Below are 16,361 nucleotides of genomic sequence, written 5' to 3'. Positions count from 1 at the left end.
TTCTGTCTCTACAAAAAAATAAACATTTTTAAAAATTAGCCAGGTGTGGTAGTGCATGCCTGTAGTCCCAGCTATAAGGAGGCTGAGGTATGAGGATCGCTTGAGCCTGGGAGATTGAGGCTGTACTGAAGCGTGGCTGCACTGCAGCCTGGGTGACACAGCAAGACCCTATTTCAAAATAAGTAAATAAAATAACCAAATCCCCAAGTTTCTTATAAATACATAAGTTTCAGGTTCATTGTCCTGGGAGATTTCTGAAAATGTCTGCATCCATACAGAAGTTCCAAATAGAGAATATGAAACATCATATTTCATTTAAAGAGTACCCTAAAGGAAGTAAACCCCTTAACATTTCTATTTTTTTTCTTTTTTTTTGAGATGGAGTTTCATTCTGTTGCCCCAGCTGGAGTGCAGTGACGCAATCTTGGCTCACTGTAACCTCTGCCTCTTGGGTTCAAGCGACTCTCCTGCCTCAGCCTCCTGAGCAGCTGGGATTACAGGCGTGTGCCACCATGCGCAGCTAATTTTTGTATTTTTTTTTAGCGGAGATGGGGTTTCACTATGTTGGCCAGACTGGTCTAGAACTCCTGACCTCAAGTGATCCATCCGCTTCGGCTTCCCAAAGTGCTGGCATCACAGGCGTGAGCTACCGCGCCTGGCCCCCTTAGTATTTTTAATGCATACGCTTTTTTTTTTTTTTTTTTTTTTTTTTTTTTTTTTTGCAGAACTGATGCAGCGCCTCATGCCTGCAATCCCAGCACTTTGGGAGGCCAAGGTGGGCAGATCACTTGAGGTCAGGAGTTTGACACCGGCCTCAACAAAATGGTGAAACCCCATCTCTACTAAAAATACAAAAAATCATTAGCTGGGCATGTTGGCATGCACCTGTAGTCCTAGCTGCTCAGGTGGCTGAGGCGGGAGGATTGGCTGAACTCAAGAGGCAGAAGTTGCAGTGAGCCAAGATGGCGCTCCTGCACTCCAGCCTGGGTGACAGAATGACAATCTGACTCCAAAAAAAAAAAAAAAAAAAAAAACAACAAAAAGAATGTTATTTCAGTGTAAATAATGTCCTACACTCTTATTCTAAAAGTTCTTTCTAGTACTTATGAGACTTCCAGGAAAGACAGTGGCACAGGTAGTTTGGCAGAAGATCCTTCCCTAAAACTAAAGGAAAGAAACAAAAAGGAAGTTAAAATATCCCTAAAATCATGACAAGTTCTCAAACTCATACCACGAAATTTTATTAAATAGTATCATTCAGGTACAGAATGAGTTAGTTGAAACTGAAAGACCAACCCCAGAATCCATACGTAAGTATCCTCTGCCCTCTCCTGCCCCCCAGAGAAATTTTGACTAGCATCTTCAACTTGCTAAGATGGGGACAGGGACTGCGGAATGCCCTACCTGAAGCTCCCTTTCTCTGATGGCCAAACAGTACTTTAGCAGGCAGGAGGATTTTATATTTTTACCTTTATCCAAAAGGAAGGATAAGGAGGAGAAAGGACTAATTACAAATAAATCAATCTCACCCCTAACCTCAGTACCATCAAAACAAATAAAGTCTCATGCTTCCAAAGTAGCAGATGAGATCATCCTGAAGCAGAGAGGGAAAAAGTCAAAGGCCCTTCTTCTACAAAATTAGAGAAGCTCTATTAAGCTTCCTAAGGCCTAACAGAGCTTAGCCAGGTGAATTCAGAGTCAAGTAAAAAGAGAATCTGCATTTCACGTTTTGGCAAGCAGCAGGTACTGAAAGGACCTACTAAAGAAAAAAAGAGTAGAAAAATCAGGGAATCAAGAAAAATTTTACAGGAAAGATGGAAAGAAGGGAAGAAAAGAGGGAAAGGAGGGAGGCAATGATGGAAGGAAAGAAAAAGGTGTATCAAAATAAAGAAAAAAGGCAGTAAAGAAGAAGAGAAGAATCAAAGAGGACACGGTCTTCATTTACTTATTTTGTTTTTTTTTCCATTACCAGCAGTTTGCCCTGATAGGACACAGTCTTCAAAAGGTAGATGAAATACATTCAGTATTAGTATTTATCACAGAAAATAGAAGAAATTTTCTGAAACAACTGCTTCGACATTCACAAGAAAAACAGATAGCATAGACTTTTATGATCAAAACAACATTGAAAGGGTAGCATGCAGAATTAAGGAAAGAAAATTACACAAGATAAATAAAACAGCATAACTAATAAATGCAACAACAGTCAATGCAGCAAAACCAAATCACTAGAAGAGAATAATTTTGAGAAAAGGTAAACAAGATGTCATGAAAAAGTACTACAGCATTAAAAAGGTTAGAGAGAAGATGATAGTTATGAAGATCCAACAGTTAACTGCTGCCCCTGAGATAGACAAAAGAATAAGAAAAATATAATTAAAGATATAACAGAATAGAAATGTCTTAACATGAAGGCCTAAATTTCATCAAAAGCTTTCACTGTATTTCCAGAAAAAAACAAAACAAACAAACAAAAAACAGACCACTACAAGCCACAGAGACTTATGCTTTGGTATATCAAAATAACTCAAAAAAAGTGTTATCTAAAGATAAGAAATGGACAATAAATTCATTTCAACACAGAAGTCTACATGACAATTTACTTTGGTTCTAGAATAGAAATAGTTCTGGAAAAGACTACAAAGTTACAAAGTGTAACAAACTAAGAACAGTATATCACAACATTTTAACAAAAATTGGGAGATTAAAATGAATGGAGAGAGAGGAAACTCAACAGACAGTAGTAGTATCTAAACTTACACTTTCATCTCTCATCATGTCAAGTAGGAGTCACTTGATACACTTTTTTTTTTTTTGGCTAGTTGATAATAAGCGAAGGCTTTAAAATTTTTTATTTGAAAGAATTTGTTAAATTCTACTATGGGTCTTGGAAATAACCCATAGTAGAATTTAAAACTAAGAGCATACTTTCCAAAATATGGTCTGAAGAAAACCTCTATCATATGGCAAATGAAGCAAACTGAAAAAGCATGAAAATAGAAATCACAGAATAAGAATGATTTGCACACACCAAGAGTTTGAGAAACATGCTCTAATGATGGAGGCTGGCTTAATAAGATTTGGGGTTTTCAATGCAATAGAATTCTTGTAGTATTGTGAAGAACAAATTCCACAAGAGAGATTAGAAGGGCACACGTGGCTAGAAGATACTGTTACAGAACAAATGAGAAGTCTGGAAGATTAAAACTTGAACATTAACAGTAGAAAGGAAGGAGGCATGATAAGCACAGAAAAGGTAAAGAACTACTGGAACTATTCTACTACAACACATACATTAGCTCATATGCAATCAGTAAATAAGGGAATTATGTCAGTACATTCAGAAATCACATTGGTTCATTTCCAATTTTTCCTAAAATGTTATTTAGTTTTTGCATTTGCAGGTAACAACAGTTAAATACAGCTAGCCCTGAGTAGTGCCACCACTTCTGGTCACCTTTACTGTTTTTAAAGGGAAAGTTCTAAATTTACCAAATTATTTGTTTAAAAATTTTAACTTATCTTTAAGCACACTACTATCTTTTTATTAGGTTTACATTAGTGCTTAAATTACAAAGATGCACAGATTTCAAATGGTCTGCTCCTAATCCTAGTTTTCCCATAAACCCTGTTCCTCTTAGTGCAGGAAGGCATACCTCAGATTACAGCACAAATGCCTTTGTCTGGCTGGCAAAATCTGAACTATGTTCTAATCATTTTTTTTTTCATTCATAACACGTAGTACTTTGAGAAAGAACATTGTTATTCTAGTATTCATTTTGGGATTCTACAGCAACTACACATTCCAATGTAAATACCCATAGGTAATGTGACTGGAGTTTTAAGCTGAACATAGGTGCCGTATGTCATTGCATTTCATCCCATTTCTTTCAAATACTTGCTGGGCACCACCTGTCCCAGGTACTATGCTAGATGCTAGGGAAACCAGTTCCTATTCTCAAGGAGCTCAGTCTATTTGCTTACTTGGATTTGATATCACTGAATTGGATTTGAAGGTCCACTAAACACTAAATACCACTTGCAATGCCTCTAATAAGTACTACTATTGGTTTCCTGACATCTTAATCTCTGAAGCTGACACAGCATTAGGCTTCAAAGTAAGCCATACTACTACTATTAAGTAGTATTATGTAGCTGAATAGATACTGATCTGATTCTGGGATATTTTGGGGATTATCATGAATTAACGAAAATGTAGTGATTCAGCAGGCTTAGAATATTTAAGTAATATTAGGCAGGCATTATATTTATGTCCCCACCCTCAGGGAAGTTACAGTCCAGCAAGTGGGCTAAGCACTACACTGGAAATAAAGCACACAATATAGTTTGCTAGGGCTGCCAAAACAAAGTACCAGAGATTATATTATGTTCACACAGAAACTTGTATACAAATGTTTATATCAGCATTATTCAAAACAGCCAAATGGTAGAAACAACCCAAATGCCCATCAACAAAAGACAAATTATGATCTCTATATATCTTATATATATGATATATATATTTAAAAATACATGTAATGAAATATTATTCAGCCATAAAAAAACCACAATGCTGATACATGTTACATCAAGAGTGAAGCGTGAAAGCATTATGCTGAGTAAAAGAAGCTAGACACAAAACGTCACACAGTGTATGATTCCTTTTACATAATATATCCGAAATAGGAAAAACCATGGAGACAGAAAGCAGGTTAGTGGTCAACAGGGTATGGGGGAAATGAAGAGGGATTACTTAATGCCTAGGGGTATTTTAGTAGGATGATGGAAAGTTTTGAAACTAAGGAGAGGTGGTAGTTGCACAACACTGTGACTACACTAAGTGCCACTGAATTGTACACAATATAATGGTTAATTGCATGTAATGTGAATTTTCAACTTCAAACACACATGTGCGCACACACCTACAAATACAGCCTACAAGAGAATACAGAGAATGACAAAAGTAGTTGGGGAGAATGGGGAAACTAGGGGTGGTTGTCCTCTACATTTTAAACTTCATCATGCTGCTACATTGCCCTAATAATTTTTTCTTTCTTTTTTTGAGACAGCGTCCCTTCTCTGTCATCCAGTCCAGGTTGGAGGGCAGTGGTGCCATCTCGGCTCACTGCAACTTTTACCTCCCAAGCTCAAGCTATCCTCCCACCTCAGTCTCTTGAGTAGCTAGAACTACAGGCACACACACTACACCTGGCTAATTTTTGTATTTTTTGTAGAGATAGGATTTCGCCATGTTGCCCAGGTTGGTCTCCAACTCCTGGGCTCAAGCGATCCATCCACCACAGCCTCCCAAAGTGCTGGAATTACATACAGGTGTGAGCCATGATGCCCAGCTAATAATTTTATTAGTCTTAAAATAGAATCAATTTTATATTTCTAGCTTGAAATAACACCAAAGATTTATTAATAGAAATGCATCACATGCATTAAAAAAACAAACAACAACAACAACAACAAAACAGGGTCAAATTATTTGGCAAAATCACTCATCTAATCCAGTCTCCAGATTTAGTTAAGCTCAAACATCATCCTAATGCCAAACTGGTTGTTAGTGTATATAATACTTGTATATAAAATCATAGTACAAGGCCAGAGAAATAAGTTGTAGTGACAAACTTCCCAATACAATACCTCCATTATAAAATACCAAAAATGTTCTAAATTTAAGCATGATAAACATTATATACTTAAAATACATAGTTAAGTGAAGCTAGTACCCTCCAAATGACACTATTAACATTTTCCAGGCTGGGCATGGTGGCTCACACTTGTAGTCTCAGCGCTTTGGGAGGGCAAGGTGGGCAGATCACCTGAGGTTGGGAGTTTGAGCCCAGCCTAGCCAACATGGTGAAACCTCTGTCTCTAATTTAAGAAAAAACAAAAACAAAAATTAGCCGGTTGTGGTGGCACACGCCTGTAATCCCAGCTACTTGGGAGGCTGAGGCATGAGAATTGCCTGAACCCCAGAAGCGGAGGTTGCAGTGAGTTATGATCACACCACTACACTACAGCCTCAGCAACAGAGTAAGACTGTCTCAAAAGAAAAAAAAAAAAATTTCCCAAAGCCTGAACTTTTTTTTTTTTTTTGAGACCGAGTCTTGGTCTGTTGCTTAGGCTGGAGTGCAGTGGCGCGATCTCGTCTCACCGCAACCTCTGCTTCCTGGGTTCAAGTAATTCTCCTGCCTCAGCCTCCTGAGTAACTGGAACTACAGGTGTGCACCACTACGCCCAGGCTAATGTTTGTATTTTTTTTTTTTTAAATTAGAGACTGGGTTTCACCATGTTGGCCAGGATGGTCTCGATCTCCTGACCTTATGATCTGCCCGCCTTGGACTCCCAAAGAGTTGGGATGACAGGTGTGAGCCACCACACCCGGCCTGAACTTTTTTTTGACATGAACTAAAAATTGTAAATTAGACTCTAATGTTAACTGAAAAGAAAAAGAAACGAGTCTGTTGAATACCAAAATTTGAGAGCAACAAATGAAACACTGAAATATCCAAAAGACGCTTACAAAGTTAAGAAACTAAAACCAGGTTCAAATGAAAACTTAGAATAAGATTTATGATGTAAAGTTAAAACTCTTCAGTCCTGTATCAGCTCCAAGACCTGGTCCCAGCATACTCAAACTTAAATTCTAACAAAGCTCATTATTCTCAGTTCACAGATCAGGTTTTCTGTCCTCTATTTTTCTCTCTCCCCCTATCCTAAATTTCAACTTGAAGATTCCAGGTATCGGTCAGGTTTTATAGAGAAACAGAATAAATCAGATGTGCATATACAAACACAGAAAGAGACTTAAGGAATTGGCCCAAGGGATTAAGGAGGCCTGGTAAATCCAAAATCTGCAGAGCAGGCTGGCAGAACTCCTTGCTCAGGGGTCAGTCTTTGTTCTATTAAAGGCCTTCCACTGACTGGATGAGGCCCACCCACAGATGGAGGCTACTCACAATCTACCAACTTAAATGTTAATCTCATACAAAAAATACTTAAACAGAAACATCGAAAATATTTGATCAAATATCTAGGCACTGTGGCCCAGTCAAGTTGGCACATAAAATTAGCCATCACCCAACTCCACCTGGGCTGAAATAATCTGTTCTTCCTTTGAAAACCACACAGCATTCTATCATTCTGTCTATACTACCCTTCTAGAATTTAAAGATCTGGAGAAAGATCTGTATCTAGATCATCTTTGCAACTCCCACAGAATCTAACACAGTGCTCTACATATAGCTGACATTTGAATATTTCTTGAATAAATCACACAGCAGAAAAAGCTATTAAGTAAGCTACTTCCAAAGTACTGAACAGTGTTTAATACCAAGGGAACTGAATTAAATTATAAAAGAAACTCACTTAGGATAAAATGAAAGAATGATTGTTTAGAGTAAATAACAACTGATGTTGATAGAATGGGAAAGTGGGAAAAACAAACCCAACCTCAGCATATTTAAGAACAGTCTACATGCAAAAGCAGCAAACCAGGAAACCAAAAAGTTACAGTTAGTATTTTTCTTCTCTTTCTGACATTTATATATATGTACAGCTCTTGTCCATTCGGTGCCATACACAAACTCTTGCTGAAACTATCTGAGATACAGAAACTATCTGAGATATGTTGGAATAAGGTATTATATATGGATTTAATACAACAAGGAAGGTTTAATTACTTAAATACTAAAAAGCACCACCTCTTCTACAACGCAGTACTCTTGCTCAGGCCCTGAAGGTAGCATGGTAGAAAGGTGACTCTGGGTTTTTTACTTAAGAGCAGAGCTTTACAAAAATAAGATTCGACAGTCCAGCTCTTGGAACCACATCACGGCCTGCTTCCACAAACTCTCACTTTTTGCACATCTGCACTCTCTTCTCTGGCCCCTTCTTCACCCTTACCCACACTACTTTCTTCCTGTTAGCAAATATTACTGCACTGAATGAAAACATCTGTCCCTCAGCCTCCACCATCTCTTCCTGAACCCACTACGAACTTAACACCCCTAACAGAGGCATTACTCCTGCCCTTGTGTCTGCAATATTCTCGATCACCTCACAGATCACATGCCAAGCACTGGCGACCCAATGACAAAAAACTACCTCCACTTCCAGAGGTCATAACCCAGATGACGTTCCTTGCACCTTCTGCAATATATTCTCAAAATCAACTTCTTCGCACTTAACTCTAGAGGTTACATCATCTTCGACTGAAAAAACCCCAAAGCCATCTTGTTAAGAGCCCATCTTGTCCTTATAAAACCAAAAAGGCAATTTGAAATTTTAGAGAGTGATGTAATAACAAAACAATACTGGCTCCTTAGAAGGTTTATTACAAAGCAAAACACATTTACAAAGGATCTCTCTTATGTAACTGAACATAACAGATAGCCTTAACATCTTCCTAGATAGCCTCTACATGTGGCTAATTCTAACTCATCTGTCAGGCCCCAGCTTAAATGTTGTGTCCTCAAGAACCTTGTCTCTGACGAAAAACAAAAACAAAAAACAAAAAAGCCCCCTCAGTTTTATCTAAGTCAACATTGCTAATAAAACTGCTCTTAAGGGATTCTAAAAATAGAAGCAATGTAATAATAACAATCTGTAACCTAAACCCCAAATTAGATAAAACCTGGAAAATGGGACAAAGGGAGAAAAGTGAAAAGATATGTTAAAACTTTTAACTTAGGCATAAGCAAAGGTAGCTTGTATTTATCTGGGTCTTGGAAAATTAAAGACATCTATGAACCCTCTCCCCAAATGTTTCTGTATGTAAATAAAAATTGCTTATAACTTCAGGGGATCAAGACTCCCTGAAATCTACCATGAACTCCATGTAATGAATCTATTATAGATAATGGCTAATTACTCCAATTGATAATTGATATAGAGAAATACAGTTGTTTGAAATTTAAGGTTTCTAAAAATGCAAGAATGTTTTAATATTAGGAAATCAATTTAATAATTTACATATTAAAAGCAAAGGAAAGGCTGGGCGCAGTGGCTCATGCCTATAATTCCAGCACTTTGGAAGGCCGAGGCAGGTGGATCACCTGAGGTCAGGAGTTCGAGACCAGCCTGGCCAACATGGTGAAACCCCGTCTCTTAAAAATACAAAAATTAGCTGGCATGGTGGTGCATGCCTGTCATCCCAGCTACTCAGGAGGCTGAGGTAGGAGAATCACTTGAACCCGGGAGGCAGAAGCTGCAGTGAGCCAAGATTGCGCCATTGCACTCCAGCCTGGGTGACAACTGTAAAACTCCGTCTCAAAAAAAAAAAAAAAAAGCAAAGGAAAGTCTAGAAAAGAAAGTAGATCAGAGGTTGCCTAGGACTGGGGGTCGTAGGCAGCTACTGACTAAACATCAACAAAGAAGCTTCTTGAGTTGATGGAATTGTTAGAAAACTGGACTGTGGTGATGGATACACAACTTTCACGGGACCGCACACTTACAGTGGGTGAATTTTATAGTATTGTAACTTATACCCAATAAAGTTAAAAGTTAATAAGTTAAACTTATAACCCAAAACTTACACCCTTCATCCCAATTACTTCAATCTTCTAGTTTCCATTGTGCCTGTTGATGTCAACTCCTGAGCCTTTTAGGAGTTTGGGGTGAAAGTCAAGTTACATCTTGGCTTTTCCCACTGACTACTTAGGTTGCGGCTCTCAACTTTGCTAAGTCATTTAAACTCATCTATTTGCTTTTCAGCCTTCCAAACTGTGTTGATGTTGTCTCCTTTCCAAATCTGTTTTGTCCTTTATGGGTTTATTTATTTATTTATTTTTTTTTTGAGACGAACTCGCTCTGTCACCCAGACTGGAGTGCAATAGCACGATCTCAGCTCACTGTAACCTCTGCCTCCTGGGTTCAAGCGATTCTCCTGCCCCAGCTTCCCAAGTAGCTGGGATTACAGGTGCACAACACCACGACTGGCTAATTTTTGTATTTTTAGTAGAGACGGGGTTTCACCATGTTGGTCAGGCTGATCTCGAACTCCTGACCTCGTAATCCGCCCGCCTCGGCCTCCCAAAGTGCTGGGATTACAGGCGTGAGCCACTGCGCCCGGCCGGGTTTATGTATTTTTTAAAAGTCCCTCTCACGTAGTTTTGATAGGATTTATCAACAGGAAGGAAAAGTAAAAGCATGTCCAGTTTGCTATCTTTACCCAATGGTTTAAATTTAATGTTGACTCTCTAAGCTGCTTTCAGTTGGGCATTCTTCCTTATGGCTGTTTTTATATTTTAATCTCCAAATGATAAAACCAAGAGACAGATATGAAAATATGATATAAGAGTGAAAAAGCAGGGTGGAGGATAAACGCATCCATGAGGAATTAAAAACAACAATAACAAGGCTGGGGAGCAGGAGGCAAGATAGAAATTATCTGAGATGGAGCTAGAAAGAGGAGGGGGAGAGGGGAGGGAGGGCGTGTCAGAGGTAGAGAGAATGAATGGATTTCTTAGATTTAAAGAGAGTTGACTCTTTTTTTTTTTTTTTGAGATGGAGTCTCACTGTCGCTTAGGCTGGAGTGCACTGGTATAATCTTGGCTCACTGCAAGCTCCGCCTCCCGGGTTCACACCATTCTCCTGCCTCAGCCTCCCTAAGAGCTGGGACTACAGGTGCCTGCCACCACACTTGGCTTTTTTTTTTTTTTTTGTATTTTTAGTAGAGACGGGGTTTCACCATGTTAGCCAGGATGGTCTCAATCTCCTGACCTTGTGATCTGCCCGCCTTGGCCTCCCAAAGTGTTAGGATTACAGGCATGAGCCACCGCGCCCGGCCGAGAGTTGACTCTTCAGATTCACAAGGTCCACAGAGAAACACTCAGAGGAAAAATCAAACCAAACCAAAAAACAAACAAACAACAACAAACCAGTGTGATCACATTTGTGAATTCCAGGAATAGAGAATTCTAAATAAAAGCTTCCAGAGAGAAAAGTGACTGAGAGTCAGACTGGCATCAGCAACCCCAGAATATTAGAAGAACAAAAAGCAGTAACTTCAAAGTTCCACAGAAAAAAGACTCTTAATTTGGAAATACATAGCCAACCAACCAGTCAAGCACAAGAAAACATAGGTTCACTAAGAAAATTTGTCACCTACATTTCCCATATATTTTATTTTTTAATTACAAAGATTCACTCAAGTAAAATTGGGAGGAGGAGAAAGAATCAACTGAGAGGTCAATATTGGAAACAAGAAACAGGAATCTGAGTATCTCTGAATAGACTAGTGAGAGATAATGGACCAGGGTAGTAGGGGTGGTCAGAGGTCAAATTCTGCATCTAGTTTGAAAGCAGAGCTGATAGGTTCGGATCACATGAGGTGAGACAGAGAGAGAGGAATTAAGGATGGCTCCAAGGTGTTTTGGTCTTACCAACTAGAATAGAGCTGTCATTTGATTAGATGGGGAAGGCTGATGGAGGAACAGGTTTGGAGCATGCTGAATTGAGATTCTAGCAGACTTCCCTACAAGTAGAGATGTTAAAGAGGCAATGGATATACAAGTCAGGAGTTCAGAGGAGAAATTCAGGCTAGAGATAGGAGTCAGTGATATACAGGTAGTATTTGAAACCAGGAACTAGATGGATGAGATCATCAAAAGAATGCAGATGATTAAATAAATGTTAACAGACAGAGAGAAAAGGGGAGATAACTGAGCCCTGGAGCTCTCCCAACATTTGGCGGCTTACAGGTTCAATCAGCCAAGGAGATTGAGAGGTAACCAGTGAGATATGAGGAAAAAAATGGCATACGATCAAGTTAAGAAAATGCTTCACAGAGAACAGACTAACTGTACCACGTAATGCTGACTGGTGAAGTAGAATGAGACTAAGAACTAACTACTGGATTTGGTAACATGGAAATCTTTGGTAATTTTGATAAGAAAACTTCATATGTAGGAATAAAAACCTTAGTAAACAGGGCTCAAAAATGAATGAACACCAGTGGTGTAGACAACTTCTTCAAGGGGTTTCGCTATAAAGGGAAGGATAGAAATGGGGTAATCATTAGAAAAGAGGAAATTCAGTTCAAGTACAGTGGGGTTTTTTGGTTGTTCTTAAGGTAGAAGAAATAACTGCCTATCTGTAAGCAGACAGAAAGATACGTTAGGGAAGGAAAAACTGAGGAGAGTAGAGAACTGCTGGAGCAATGTTCTTGAATCACCAAGAGGGGACAAATGCTGCACAAGTGGAAGGGTGGTCTTAGACAGAAATAAGAACAGTTTATCCATATTGATCAGAAAAAAACATAGAAGTCTGGGGAACAGATGCAGGTAACTGGGTATGTGAGGGGTAAGTTTATCAAAATTATCTTTCGTTTGCTGTTCTTTTCTCAGTTAACTGCTATAGAAAGCACGGTTAAGGGGCTGAAAGTGAATATGGGGGAGGTGTTGGAGGCTTGAGGAAAATGAATGGAATAGCCATGTAGAAAAGTGAAATGGATTATGGAAGTATAGTGTGACTGCTAGGAAGTGACCATGACTGCGGAGGCTAGCGAACATAAATTTAGAGTGAGGCTGGTCAGCACATCTGTGTTGATATAATCAGGGTTGTGATTTCTTGTATAAGACAGCAAGAGGGGAATGGGGTGGGGGCTGAGGGAATGTGTACTGACTGTCGTGGTTGCTCATGGAGTTGAAGCAGGATAAAGAAGGAAGTAAAGTTATGAGGGGAATGAGAGGACAGTGAAAGGCAGTAAGATGACAGTAGACTACAGTAGGTGTGAATGACTGACTGAGTTGGGCTACTAGAGAGACTGAGCACCTAGACAGAGAGGGAGATCGTGGTGGGAAATAACATGGGACAGCTATTCTCTATTAAGCACCAACATTAAACTAGTTACTTCTTTTATATCACCTCATTTAATTATCAGAATGACTCTGAAAGATGGGCATTATTATCCATCCCTATTGAAAAGATGAAGAAGTTAAAGCTAAGGTTAAATAACTTGTCCAAGACCAAAAAGCTGCTAAGTATTCCAACTGGCATTTTGGGTCGCATTTTCTTCCAGAAAAAAACAAACAAACAAAAAACCCTACAAAACTAGAATAAGGCCCTTGGGAATAAATTATTTTACAGACCAACTCACACTTTGTCCACTAAAAAACTTACTTCAAGCCAGACACTGTGGCTCACACCTGTAATCCCAGCACTTTGGGAGGCCAAGGCAGGCAGATCACTTGAGCCCAGGAGTTAGAGACCGACCTGGGCAGCATGGCAAAACCCTGTATCTACAAAAAACAGAAAATTAGCTGGGTGTGGTGGTGTGTGCCTGTGGTCCCAGCTACTTGGGAGGCTGAGGCAGGAGGATTACCTGAGCCCAGGGAGGTCAAGGCTGTGATCGTGCCACTGCACTCCAGCCTGGGCAACAGAGTGAGACTCTTGTCTCAAAACAACAACAACAAAATTTACTTCAATGGTATCTAGTTTTTAAAACAGCTAATTAATATATTATTTTATAGCATCATGAGAGAAAGACAAATTGTTTCTATAGCAAGCATCTTCTAGCACGGAATAATTAAATTCAAGTTAAACTATCTGTAGTTACTGCTATTATTACTGTGGCACTGAGTTAAATACAAAACTCCTGCTATGTATCATGCACAGATAAGATTTCTTTTTTCTTCCTACTTCCTTCCTTCTACTATTTTTTTTCTTCAGTTTTATGCTGTTTTCTTTACTTCCGACTTAGAAAATCATGGCTTACCTTACTTACCCCTACTAGAAAATGAACAGTTTCTGGCACCTGACTTCAGACTCCCAGAATTACCAAGTATTTCTGCGGACTATGTAACAATAATAAACTGTTTCCAAGGCTCCAAGTACTGGCAACATCACTAAATAGGGCAACAAAAAGAAACTGTGGCTTGAAGTTTCACTAGATCTTTGTCATTTTAGATAGTAATTTTGTGAATTGCTAGATTTAGATCCCCAAGTAATGCAAGAAATCAAATAAAGCACCCCGCAAGTATTTTATCCATCACACAAAGCTCTTCCACTCTCTCCAATAAGGTAATAGTTTATGACTATGTGACTAACATCAAGAAGTAGATAAATTATGCCAATGAGCCAGACTTAGCAGATGATTAAAGAAATCTGTTAACAATTTACTTGTTTTTCTATTCTTCCACCAATCTCTTGATTTTAAGAACAACTTATTTTAAAGGCAAGTGGCTTATATAATCGTTCTTCATAAAGTCTCTTTTCCCAGTGCAGTAGCAACCTGGTTTCCATTTGAATGATTATCCAGGTAAGCTAACTAAATGTAAGAATTTATTTTTTATAAGAATTTCATTCATTTTAGCCTATTTAGGCATCCTACTCACTTATAGACGTAGGTGCAAACACAACTGGAACTATTCCATAAAATATTCATACATGTCACCACTGTGTAATTTCTTCCTACACCCTGAATGGAGGCTTCCTTTAAACTTTAAATGAAAATTATAATTGAGCTTGAGTCACAAAGAGTTTACCTCCCCAATAATGTTAATTATGTCACTAGATTTCATCCTCTTGCATCCCTACTCACTGAAATTCTTCAAGATTTCTTAATGTGAGGCAGGATAATTTAATTTTATAGGGAAATGCAATTGTGAACATGGAAAAGCATTATTTGGAGGTATACCCAAGATACTTCTACAAGAACAATAAGCTAAAATGCTAAATCATTTCCATTTACTCACTAACTAAACAACCTTTCATACCAGGAGCTCAGAGTCTGGAGGTGAAGGGGAAGGTGAAGACAGACAATAAACACATATGCAAATAAGCAAAGAAGATTAAGTGTAAGTCATGATCAGTGCTGAGAAGAAAATAAATTCAGAGCTGTGACACAGACTACAAACTGCAACAAACTGCAGAAACAAACTGCAACACAGATCATCTATAAACATACATAGCAGATTGACATCAAAGCCTTTCTAGGTTGCCTTTATGACTTCTTGACATATGCTTAGGTTCCGAGGATCAAAGCCCCTCAAACTTACCTGTTTCACTTTCTAGAACTAAAGCTAGTCTGTGACATCTCTAGCAGAAAATAAGGCACATCGACCATTTCACAGCACCTCTGCAATTAGGCTTTTGATTATGTGGTGTGATAACTTATCCACACTGAAACATTTTCAAAAGAGAAAACAGATTATTATTATTATTTTGTGTTTTTTTTTTTTTTGAGACAGAGTCTCGCTCTGTTGCCCAGGCTAGAGTACAGTGGTGTGATCTTGGCTCACTCTAACCTCCGCCTTTCAGGTTCAAGCAATTCTCCTGCCTCAGCCTCTCAAGTAGCTGGGATTACAGACATGCACCAGCACGCCCAGATAATTTTTGTATTTTTAGTAGAGACGGGGTTTCGCCATGTTGGCCAGACTGGTCTCGAGCTTCTGACTTCAGGTGATTCGCCTGCCTCAGCTTCCTGAAGTGCTGGGATTACAGGCTATCATTGTTATTTTTTAAGACAAGGTCTTGTTCTATGTTTCAGGCTGGAGTGCAGTGGCATGATCACAGCTCCTCTTGGGCTCAAGCAATCCCCCTGCCTCAGCCTCCCAAGTGGCTGGGACGACAGACATGCATGCCACCATGCTTGGCTAATGCACTTTTTAAAATTTTTTGTAGAAATGGAGTCTCCCTGTATTGCCGAGGCTGGTTTTGAACTCCTGGGCTCAAGCAATACCCCGGCCTTGACCTTTTGGAAATGTTGGGATTACAGGCCTGAGTCACCCTGCCCAGCCGGGATGTTTTTAATAATTATGCCAGAGCAGGCACAAACAAGGACTTTCCACCAGGGCAAACTAGGCCATATGGTTACCCTAATTATATACCACATCAAATGTAAATAGCCAAAAATTTCAAGAGTAGTTTATAGTTCCAGATATATTTAAATTATAATATCCAAGCCCTAAATTATAATATGGACAATATAAACCAAGTGAATCCCTTACTAAATATAAAGCTCTGAATATCTCACATTGTACACAAAATCAATTTCAGATGCATTATAAACGTCAATGTGAAAAAGCAAAGCACAAAAAGGTTTAAAGATAATCAAAGTATCTCTATGATGTTTTAAAAAAAGAAACACTAGCCATAAAAAACTGATGAACATGTTTACATTAAAATGAAGAACTTCTGTTAATTTAAAGAAACTACTAAATGGAAAAAATGTTTGCAATATATACATCCAACAATGGAGATATATTCAGAATACAGAACTCTAGAAAAAGACGTGTTTCGATTTAAAAAAGGAAAAGATTTCAAAGGCATTTTATGAAAAATGAAATCCAAACACCCAGATATGAAAAGCTGGTCAGCCCCATTTAGTAATGAGGGAAATGATTAAAACT

General features: G+C 38.7%; 1 protein-coding gene across 30 annotated transcripts in view; it reads right to left on the bottom strand.

Moving 5' to 3' along the window:
* Positions 1-16,361, bottom strand: part of LSM14A (LSM14A mRNA processing body assembly factor) — a 56,785-nt gene that overhangs the window by 35,935 nt on the left and 4,489 nt on the right. Inside the window, exon 2 of one of the 30 annotated variants that reach the window (NM_001384431.1) lies at positions 886-1,003. The exons of the other annotated variants lie outside the window; for them this stretch is intronic. The gene's annotated coding sequence lies outside the window, so the exon portion shown is untranslated. The remainder of the gene's footprint in view (positions 1-885; positions 1,004-16,361) is intronic. 30 annotated transcript variants of the gene reach the window in all.

Source organism: Homo sapiens, chromosome 19 (assembly GCF_000001405.40).
Source record: "Homo sapiens chromosome 19, GRCh38.p14 Primary Assembly".
Taxonomy (NCBI): domain Eukaryota; kingdom Metazoa; phylum Chordata; class Mammalia; order Primates; family Hominidae; genus Homo; species Homo sapiens.
This window is presented reverse-complemented; position numbering and strand designations above follow the sequence as displayed.